Source organism: Homo sapiens, chromosome 12 (genome assembly GCF_000001405.40).
Source record: "Homo sapiens chromosome 12, GRCh38.p14 Primary Assembly".
Classification (NCBI taxonomy): Eukaryota; Metazoa; Chordata; class Mammalia; order Primates; family Hominidae; genus Homo; species Homo sapiens.
The window spans coordinates 104,342,434-104,353,469 of NC_000012.12; the positions used below are offsets into that span (position 1 = coordinate 104,342,434).

The 11,036-nt window shown below is 41.3% G+C and overlaps 1 protein-coding gene across 7 annotated transcripts in view, besides 2 other annotated features; it reads left to right on the top strand.

Annotated features, from left to right (window-relative positions):
- The window catches only part of TXNRD1 (thioredoxin reductase 1), a 134,529-nt gene extending 126,655 nt beyond the window's left edge, over window positions 1–7,874 (top strand). For all 7 annotated transcript variants that reach the window (NM_001093771.3, NM_001261445.2, NM_003330.4 and 4 more), the window contains one exon: window positions 5,920–7,874. In NM_001093771.3, coding sequence (NP_001087240.1) covers window positions 5,920–5,988 — 69 coding nt within the window. In that variant the 3' untranslated portion in view covers window positions 5,989–7,874. The remainder of the gene's footprint in view (window positions 1–5,919) is intronic.
- Window positions 643–887: a silencer, noted in NCBI's record as "fragment chr12:104736854-104737098 (GRCh37/hg19 assembly coordinates)". NCBI's record gives its function as "represses an EF-1alpha promoter that drives an FKBP-Casp9 reporter gene in an ReSE screen in phorbol 12-myristate 13-acetate-treated (for megakaryocytic differentiation) K562 erythroleukemia cells {active_cell/tissue: K562(+PMA)}" and the evidence as "EXISTENCE:reporter gene assay evidence [ECO:0000049][PMID:32094911]".
- Window positions 1,152–1,321: an enhancer, noted in NCBI's record as "experimental_23864 CRE fragment used in MPRA reporter constructs". NCBI's record gives its function as "activates a minimal promoter by MPRAs in K562 erythroleukemia cells, with activity observed for the introgressed 12:104737448 variant allele {active_cell/tissue: K562}" and the evidence as "EXISTENCE:reporter gene assay evidence [ECO:0000049][PMID:34662402]".

The window sequence follows — 11,036 nt, forward strand, 5'->3', positions numbered from 1 at the left end:
CCAAATACATATTTCTTCTCATTTCACAATATCGTAGGATGTTGGGGCAGGATGATTCTGGAGGGAGTTCTTACCTAAGACTAGAACAATGTGTGAGTGTTAGCTAGTGAGAGAACACTGTACAAAAGGCCTGGGTGGGAAAGCGGATGGCTCATTCAAGGAACTGAAGAAGACCCTCAATATTGGCATAGCTTAAAGAGCTTAGAGAGTTAAAAATATATATTTATTTTTTATTTTTTTGTATATATATGCTGGAGAAACAGGTGGGTAAGTGATGGTCTTGTAAACTAAGGAAGGGTATTTTGACTGCCTTTGGGGCATTGTGATTCAGCCAAAAGGTCTAAAGCAGGGAGTAATATGATCAGGTACATTGTTCAGAAACATTCCTCCAGCTGCACCGTGGAAGCGGGACTGAGCGAGCAAGTGAAGTGGCAGATCCAGTTATGTGGCTGGTGAGGTGCATGAGAGGAGATGATAGTGGCCGGAGGTGTGGCAGTGGAAATGGAGTGACACGGTTATATTTGAGGGCAGAGTTGATAGTACTTGGCAGCTGGCTGGGAATGGGAAGAGGGAGAGCTGAAGACCACTCAGGTTTGTGTCCTGCAGCAGGAAGTAATAGCAAGAGCAGACTCGAGGTGACAGCGAGGACGAAACCACTGATGTGTGTGAGGGCCTGCTGTGTGCTGGGTACTGTGTCCCTGCCTGTTGACTAACTTAGTCGTTGTGAGCACCCCATGCGGTGGATGCGGTAGTATATCTATTTGACAGACGAGGAAACCAAGGACAAAGAGGTTGAGTAACTTGCCCATGGTAACCCAGCCTGGTCATGGCCGAGCTGGGATTCAAACCCAGGCAGCCCAGACCCCAAAGCACCACATTGTGCAGCTGATACTTCATCTCCACAGACTGTCCTACCATATTTGGCATAGAATTTAAAAATGGAAATGATTCTTGGTAGCAACACGAATGTAGTGGAGACACACAGACCTGGGTTGTAATCTCACTCAGCCAATTCCTCTTAGTGAGACCTGGCCATACCACCCAGGTTTTCAGAAGCTTAGTTTCCACATTAAATAAAGTAAGAGGCCAGGCGTGGTGGCTCACTCCTATAATCCCAGCACTTTGGGAGCCTGAGGCGAGTGGATCACTTGAAGCCCGGAGTTTGAGACCAGCCTGGCCACATAGCAAAACCCAATCTCTACCAAAAATAACAAAAAAATAACTGTGCATTGTGGCGTATGCCTGTAATCCCAGCTATGTTGGAGACCGAGGCACAAGAATCACTTGAACCCAGGAGGCAGAGGTTGTACTGAGCCAAGATCACGCCACTGCACTCCAGCCTGGGCGACAGTGAGACCCTGTCTCAAAAAAAAAAAATAAAACAAAATGGCCTGGCTCAGTGGCTCACGCCTGTAATCCCAGCACTTTAGGAGGCCAAGGTGGGCAGATCATCTGAGGTCAGGAGTTCAAGACCAGCCTGGCCAACATGGCAAAACCTTGTCTCTACTAAAAATACGAAAATGGCCTGATGTGGTGGTGCATACCTGTAGTCCCAGCTACTCAGGAGGCTGAGGCATGAGAATTGCTTGAATCTGGGAGGTGGAGGTTTCAGTGAGCCGAGATCACGACACTGCACTCCAGCCTGGAGCGAGACTCTATCTCAAATAAAAAAAAAAGTAAAATAAAATAAGGGAATATCTAACTGTAGGGTTGATTAAAATGCAACCTGTAAAGTGTGTAGGAGAGTTCCTGGCATTTAATAGATGCCGAATAGCTGCACCTGTTAGCTGTTTTTTCCCCAGGATATTATAGATGTGGCTGTGGCTTGGGAGGGGAGACGATGTGGCTGGACTGAAAGGTCATCATGCCAGTATTTTTAATGGGGGTTGGAGAGAGATACATATTGTGAAAAAGCTCCAGTGATTTTTTTTTTTTTTAAACCCTGGTTGTGAACTACTTGCGTTGATACTGGATTTTGAAAAACCAAAGGCTTTAAACTCCTGGTTATGGACATTTTAAAAAATTATTTTTAATTGACACAATAATTGTACATATTTATGGGGTGCATAGTGATGTTTTGAAACACAGAGTTTATAGTGATCAGATTAGGGTAATTAGCCTATCAATCATCTCAAACATTGACCATTTCTTTGTGTTGAGAACATTCCATATCCTTCTAGCTATTTGAAAGTATGCATTATTGTTTAACTGTAGTTATCCTAAGGTGCTATAGAACATATTCCTCCTATCTAGCTGTAGTTTTATATCCTTTAACAAATCTCTCCCTATCTCCTTCTCCCAACCCTTACCAGCCTCTAGTAATCTCTGTTCTACTTTTTACTTCTGTGAGTAAGCTAGCACAGCCACTGTGGTCAACAGTATGGAGGTTCCTCAAAAATCTGCAAATAGAGCTACCATATGATCCAGCAATCCCACTACTTAACTGGGCATTTATCCCAAGGAAGTCTTTTAGGGGTTCATAGGAGGAACTCTTTTCTCTGCCAAATGCTGGGTTCTGACTTGGATAGTATTTGGATTTGCTACTGGACCCACTGTTTTTATCGTCCAGACATATTCTGTGGGGAATGTGATATTCTGTGGGGAATGCGGTTCAGAAGTGGTCCACAGAATGTTTGTTATTAGTCCATAATGATAGAAGGCTAGAAACGAAGAAGAAAGTTTAGAAATTTTAACAATAATTTGACAGTGACTGATCTAGTAATAAACAATGGTGTTTTAATTTTACATGCCTTTTAAAATTTCATTTCCCCAGTACATTGTCAGTGAATTTCACAAGTGTTAGTCCAGTGGATGAATTAGAAATAATAATAATTTTTAAACCAGTCCTGAGTACTACTTTAAACTGAGTGCTCAAAAATAGCTGCAGCTCCAGAGCCAGCTGTGGTAGGCTGGCACAGTGACTCACTTTGGTAAAAATCCTGGGCAATTGAGAGCAGTCTTTGACTCTGAGGAGTAATTACTTACAAAAGTTGACAAATTCCTTAGCAAAGTAATTTCCAAAGGGAATTACTAGAATTCTAGAATTGCTGTAAGAGGAGAGGCTACTCTTGTTTGTCCTGTGTGAGAGGGATTCTCAGCGCCTGGGGCATTAGCAATGCATTTGCCGTATTCAGTGTGAGATGGGGTTGGTGGTCATTTATTCTGAACACCTGAGCCGCAGTCATTGAGTAGGAAACGGATTACACATAGTTATGAAGTTCACTTGTAGAGGAGAAAAACAATAGTTCAAGAGGAAAACATTTGAAAATACTTCCTTGTAATGTCTTAAATGAATTTTAGTGCCAAATATTAAAAGTTTTTGTGTTTTTTGTTTGTTTTTAATTTAATAGTCAATATAATCCCACTCTAAAGTGAGGGAGCCTTCTGCGGCTGGAAGTGGTGGGGACAGATAAGAGTATGTGAGGTGGAAAGCCTCCAGCAGCTCCTGACCCTTGTACGAGTCCTGTGTGTTGGGATGGAAGGGCATGGAGGCTGCCCCTTCTGCTCATTTTTTAAAAATACATGTTTTTATAAAAATTCTAAAACAGTTGTGTACGAATGAAATCTGTCAATTGACCCAAGCAGTTTTTTTCATTTATTTGAGATAGGGTTCCTGTCACCCAGGCTGGAGTGCAGTGGTGTGATCTCAGTTCACTGCAGCCTTGACCTTTCAAGCTCAAGCGATGTTCCTGCCTCAGTCTCCTGAGTAGCTGGGACCACAGGTACATGCCACTGTTTCCAGCTAATATATATATATATATTTGAGACAGGGTCGCATTATGTTGCCCAGGCTGGTCTCAAACTCCTGGGCTCAAGCAATCCTCCCGCCTTGGCTTCCCAAAGTGCTGGGATTGCAGGCGTGAGCCACGGTGCCTGGCCAGTTTTTTATTTAGACTGATCAACGATGGCAGTTTGGCTTCCTCCATCTTTTTAACATAAGAACAACATCAATATGAGAAAAAACAGATAAGAGCTCATTTTGGTGGATTTAGTTTTGTATCCACATCTCCTACAAGTTCTATTTCTAAATCAGTTTCTGAGAAATAGAACCCAGGCTTGCAAATTGATAAGCCTGGAATTTGTTTAAATGTATTCTTTGGCTCTTTATTTTTTTCCTCATTATAAAAATGGAAAAGAAAGCATGTTTGAATTGCCCTTAATACCCCTTTCTAACACAGTTATTTTTATTATCATGTATTGTTTCCCCGTCCTCATCTGTACTCCTACATTTTTTTTAAACAAAGGAATTTTATTGCCTTTCCAAAAAAGTTGTACTAGTTTATAATGTCACCAGCATTGCATATAAGAGTGCTAATTAAAATGTTGCAAAATTCAGTGTCAATGTTTTTTCTATAATGAGTATAAAAAGGATAACTATTGGCCAGGCACAGTGGCTCATGCCTGTAATCTAAGCACTTTGGGAGGCCGAGGCAGGTGGGTCACCTGAGGTCAGGAGTTTGAGACAAGCCTGGTCAACGTGGTGAAACCCTGTCTCTACTAAAAATCCAAAAATTATCCGAGCATGGTGGCAGGTGCCTGTAATCCCACCTACTCGGGAGGCTGAGGCAGGAGAATCGCTTGAACCTAGGAGGCAGAGGTTGCAGTGAGCCAAGATTGTGCCGCTGCACTCCAGCCTGGGTGACAGAGTGAGACTGTCTCAAAAATAAAAATAATAATAAAATAACGATTTCAAGGATTTTAGCATATCTTTGCTAACAATGATGAGCCTCTTTCTTCTTATAATGATTTTTTTTTTTGGATATGAATTATCCATATTTTCTAATGCATTTGTATTTTAAAACTTTTTAAGATACTGGCCATTAGTATTTGGTCTGGATTTTTTTGAGAAGTAAAGGCTTTGTCACCCTCTGAGGCTAAAACAGACTAAAGACTTTTCTCAGTATTGTTCCTCCCTTACACAAAACTGTTTTCCCCCTTATTCACAAGTATTTTTGTTTTTACGTACAGGCAATCTTGAGCAGTAGCAAGTAAAGATTGTCTAAAACTGTCAAGTCCACAACCATCAAATGTTTGCAAGGATATGAAACAAGGAGAACTTGTTAGTCACTGCAAATGAGAGTATAGGTTGGTTCAGGTACCTTGAAAATCTAGTCAAGCCAAAGTTTCACCTGCCCTCTGACTCAGCAGTTGTACTCCAGCTCTGTGTGCAAGGAGATGTGCTGGAATGTCACAGCATCGTATTGCAAAGAGCATATTGGCAACAGCTTGGATGGCCAGCAGAAGGAGCCCAAATGTGTGATTCATATTCACTAGTCGAATAATTGAATACTACAATATACACCATATATACTACACTGTATGTGTTGTTCTATACTATAGTGATTGACTCGAACTCCATTCAGTGAAAAAAATGGAAGAATTAGCTATTTGTATCCATATGGGATACAAAAAAGCAGGGTAACAAAAGAATCTACATCATCTTGCCATTTGCAGGTAAAGCTTCTTAAAAAAACAAGAGAAATGCAGGAAGAAATGCCTAGGAATGATAAGACCAACTCGGTGGAGGGAAAGGAGGAAAAGGCCAATGGGGTGGCACACACAGGGCTAACTGGGCACTTTATACCCTTCTTTATATCCAAAATATTTTATGGTGAATTTCTTTTAGAGGGTTGACAAGCACCTGTGGGTACCTGATCTGTTTTAATCATCCTCATGCTAACAAAATTCTTCAGTAGATATAACCTAAATTTTTTTTCTCTTTCATCTTGGTTTTAAAATGTCTTCCCCCTTTTATTCTCTGGAGAAATAGAAGATATCCTTGATCATACTACTTCTCTGTTTTATTCATTTTGGTAGTCGCCTAAGATGGTTTTAATGCATATGGCATTATCTGAACTGTTCCCTGTTACCTCATTTGCTCAGGCATCTGAAGATGTTGTGCTTTCTCTTCCCCTGCAGGTATTCACAACATTGTCTGTGACCAAGCGCTCTGGGGCAAGCATCCTCCAGGCTGGCTGCTGAGGTTAAGCCCCAGTGTGGATGCTGTTGCCAAGACTGCAAACCACTGGCTCGTTTCCGTGCCCAAATCCAAGGCGAAGTTTTCTAGAGGGTTCTTGGGCTCTTGGCACCTGCGTGTCCTGTGCTTACCACCGCCCAAGGCCCCCTTGGATCTCTTGGATAGGAGTTGGTGAATAGAAGGCAGGCAGCATCACACTGGGGTCACTGACAGACTTGAAGCTGACATTTGGCAGGGCATCGAAGGGATGCATCCATGAAGTCACCAGTCTCAAGCCCATGTGGTAGGCGGTGATGGAACAACTGTCAAATCAGTTTTAGCATGACCTTTCCTTGTGGATTTTCTTATTCTCGTTGTCAAGTTTTCTAGGGTTGAATTTTTTTCTTTTTTCTCCATGGTGTTAATGATATTAGAGATGAAAAACGTTAGCAGTTGATTTTTGTCCAAAAGCAAGTCATGGCTAGAGTATCCATGCAAGGTGTCTTGTTGCATGGAAGGGATAGTTTGGCTCCCTTGGAGGCTATGTAGGCTTGTCCCGGGAAAGAGAACTGTCCTGCAGCTGAAATGGACTGTTCTTTACTGACCTGCTCAGCAGTTTCTTCTCTCATATATTCCCAAAACAAGTACATCTGCGATCAACTCTAGCCAAATTTGCCCCTGTGTGCTACATGATGGATGATTATTATTTTAAGGTCTGTTTAGGAAGGGAAATGGCTACTTGGCCAGCCATTGCCTGGCATTTGGTAGTATAGTATGATTCTCACCATTATTTGTCATGGAGGCAGACATACACCAGAAATGGGGGAGAAACAGTACATATCTTTCTGTCTTTAGTTTATTGTGTGCTGGTCTAAGCAAGCTGAGATCATTTGCAATGGAAAACACGTAACTTGTTTAAAAGTTTTTCTGGTAGCTTTAGCTTTATGCTAAAAAAAATAATGACATTGGGTATCTATTTCTTTCTAAGACTACATTAGTAGGAAAATAAGTCTTTTCATGCTTATGATTTAGCTGTTTTGTGGTAATTGCTTTTTAAAGGAAGTTATTAATATCATAAGTTATTATTAATATTTTGAACACAGGTGGATGTGAAGGATTTTCATTTAAAAACCAAGTGGTTTTGACTTTTTCTGTTGAATGAACAACTGTGCCTTGTGGAATTTTTGCAGAAGTGTTTATGCTTTGTTAGCATTTCAACTTGCATTATTATAAAGAGGTATTAATGCCTCAGTTATGTGTTTGTCAATGTACTGGCTGAGGATTCTATCTCAGCTGTCTTTTCTAACTGTGTAGGTTGAGTTTTGAACACGTGCTTGTGGACATCAGGCCTCCTGCCAGCAGTTCTTGAAGCTTCTTTTTCATTCCTGCTACTCTACCTGTATTTCTCAGTTGCAGCACTGAGTGGTCAAAATACATTTCTGGGCCACCTCAGGGAACCCATGCATCTGCCTGGCATTTAGGCAGCAGAGCCCCTGACCGTCCCCCACAGGGCTCTGCCTCACGTCCTCATCTCATTTGGCTGTGTAAAGAAATGGGAAAAGGGAAAAGGAGAGAGCAATTGAGGCAGTTGACCATATTCAGTTTTATTTATTTATTTTTAATTTGTTTTTTTCTCCAAGTCCACCAGTCTCTGAAATTAGAACAGTAGGCGGTATGAGATAATCAGGCCTAATCATGTTGTGATTCTCTTTTCTTAGTGGAGTGGAATGTTCTATCCCCACAAGAAGGATTATATCTTATAGACTTGTCTTGTTCAGATTCTGTATTTACCCATTTTATTGAAACATATACTAAGTTCCATGTATTTTTGTTACAAATCTTCTGAAAAAAAACAAAACAATGTGAAACATTAAAATTAAAAGGCATTAATAATATCCACGTGTGCCTTCTTACTGAATGATGGTCTTGGGAGTCTTTGCAAGAGTATTGAGTAGATCTCTGATATTGTGTTGAAAAGCTAGCTGCTGAGTAGGCTCCAATGATGCTATGCTGATTTAAGTATAGAAGAACTAATCAGTTCATTGCCATTTCCCATCTTCTGGCAGTATCAGGCACATAGATGGTCAATAAATGTTTCCAGAAATGTTGATTACCATGTTCAGATTATGCATTCACATGCACTTAATCTTCTTAGGTATCACTTTTTAAGCAGAAACTCCTCTTTTATGTAATCTTTACCAAAAACCTTCCCAGTTTGTACTTGTTTTTGTGGTAAGTAGTTGCAGGGTGCTAGTAATAACAACAGCTAAATGAGTGTTTACTGCAACACGTGCAGGCACTGTGCTTGACACACCCTGGCTGATGTGATCCTTACAACAATCCTATTAGAGAAGGTGCTTTTGTACCCATTTATAGATGGAGAAACAGGCTCAGAAGTGTAAGTCACTTTCTTAGGATTACACAGCCAGTTAATGCATCACGTTTTTGAGGCCAGAGTTGGGTCTGTGACCTCAAAGGCGCTACCTCTTAGTTACCTCGCAGTGCAGCCTCCCATTCATCTCTGACAAATGGAAGCTTTTAGGTCTGCTGCATCAATTCCTGGGACTTCACATTTTCACATGCCGTCAAGCAATGCTGTCTACACGCTTAATAAATACCTTGTCTTGAGATGTTCTAACACTTTCCTAACTGGACTTTCCACCGCCAGTTTACTTCCCACTAGAGCCAGGCTCTTATTGCCTGAACTTCCCTGTCTCAAGCCTTTGAGGTTTTCCCAAGGCCTGTAACTAGACCCACAGTCCCCTGCCAGACCCTGAACCTGTTATCTGCAGCTCTAGCCTGCGCTTTCCCTTGCCTGTTCTGGCTACACCTGCTCTATGTCCCCATATAACTACTAGCCTCCCTCAAAGGTCACCTGCTCTGCGTAACTTCCAGCTGGTTCTCTACCTCTACTCCCAGGGTACTCTGTATTGTCTCTAGAGCTCTTTGAATTACTCTGCATGGAGTGTAGTGTGTGTTTCTGTCACCACCACTAGATAATGAGGGTTCTTTACCTCTGTGTGCCCCACAGCTTCTAGCACAAGGTCTGGCACTACAGAAGCACTTAGAACATTGGTGTAATTGGATTGACAGGTAGAGCCATAACTATCAGAGATGGCCATATAGGAAGCCTTTTAATTTCTTCCTGTTATGTCAGGAGCCATTGATTTAAATGTTAATGAAAGTAGAAAGGGCCTAAACAGAAAAAAAGTCAGCCTCACTAGTGAGGGGGAATGCAAATTAAATTGCAGTGAAATGCAAATCAAGCTGAAGTGAGATACCATTTTATACCCACTGTGAGTGGCTACTTTTTTTTTTTCTTTGAGACAGGGTCTTGTTCTGTTTCCCAGGCTGGAGTGCAGTGGTGCGAACACAGCTCGCTGCAGCCTCTGACCTTCTGGGCTCAAGCCATCCTCCTACCTCAGCCTCCCAAGTAGCTGGGACTACAGGCATGCACCACCATGCCCAGCTAATTTTTTAAGTTTTTGTGGAGATTGGGTTTTTTGCTCTATTGCCCAGGCTGGTCTTGAACTCCTGGGCTCAAGTGATCACCCTGCCTTGGCTTCCCAAAGTGCTAGGATTACAGGCATGAGCCACTGTCCTAGCCTGGATGGTTAATTTTATGTGTCAACTTGACTGGGCTAAGGGATGCCCAGAGAGCTGGTAAAATATTCCTGGATGTTTCTGTGAGGGTGTTTCTGAAAGAGATTAACACTGATTCGAATCAGGAGACAGTAAAGAGGGTCACCCTCACCAATGTGGGTAGGCATTGTCTAATCCTTGAGGCCCAAATCAAACAAAAGGCAGAAAGGTGAATTTACTCTTTGCCCTTGAGCTTGGAGATCCATCTTCTCCTGCCCTCAGACCTTGCTGCTCTGGTTCTTGGGACTTTAGACTCAGATTAGGACTTGCACCCTTGGTTCCCTGGTCTCAGGCCTTCAGGTTTGGACTGAAACTCCATGACTCACTCTCCTGGGCCTCCAGCCTGCAGATGGGACTGTGGGACTTTTCAGGCTCCATAATCACATGAGCCAATCCCTCCTAAAAATCTCTTTCCATATTTTATGTACACACATATGTATAAAATCCATTGTTTCTGTGGAGAGCCCTCATGCACCCATTGTATGGCAGATTTAAGAGTGCCAGTATCCAGTGTTGTCAAAGACATGGAGCAACTGGAACACTTATTATTATTGCTGGTGGGGATGTAAATTATTCAATCACTTCGGAAAACAGTGAAGATCAGCATATCAAACATTTCGAAAATGATTTGAAATTTTTTTACATGTTTTAACAAAGCCAGTTTATTTTGTAGTTTTAATAAAAAAGGTGCCCTTTTTGTCCCTGGATTCACTTAGCATTCATAATTTTTTTTAATACAATGAATTTAAATTGCTAAAAGATCATGGACTGGCTTTCTGGTTGGATTTCAGGTAAGATGTGTTTAAGGCCAGAGCTCTTCCTCAATATTTGTTTTTTTCCCAATATTTGATTTTTAAAATATACACATAGATGCTACATTTATAGCTTCTGGCTTAAAATTCTGTCATATGTCACGTCTAGCCTTTTAGTATGGTAAATCATGTTTTACTTCTACTTAAACATTAATAATTTGGAGTATCTGTTACTAGTAATAGTAATTCTATAATTGTATAATTGAGTTTTGTACTTAACACACATAGGTCATTCCTCATCTATCATTTGCACCCAGTGCAGTTTCATTTTTCAGATACCATGATGCAAAATAGAGTTTTTCATCATTTAGGTGTAAGCAAAAACCCCCCAAACCAAAAAATGATACTGGCCGTTACCCAGTAGAATTAAACGCATGGATAGCTCATGACCCAGCTGTTACACGCTTAGGTGAATACCCAGCACAAATGCACTGTCTACGTACCTAAAGACTTGTACAGGAGTGTTCATAACACTGTTATTAATTGCAAAACAAAATAAATCCCAAAAACAAACGTGGAAGCAGCCCAAATATCCATCACCATGAGAATGGGCAAATGAGTTGTGGTGTGTCCATGTAACAGAAGACTAACAGCAGGATATATGTAACAAAATAGATCTAAGAAAC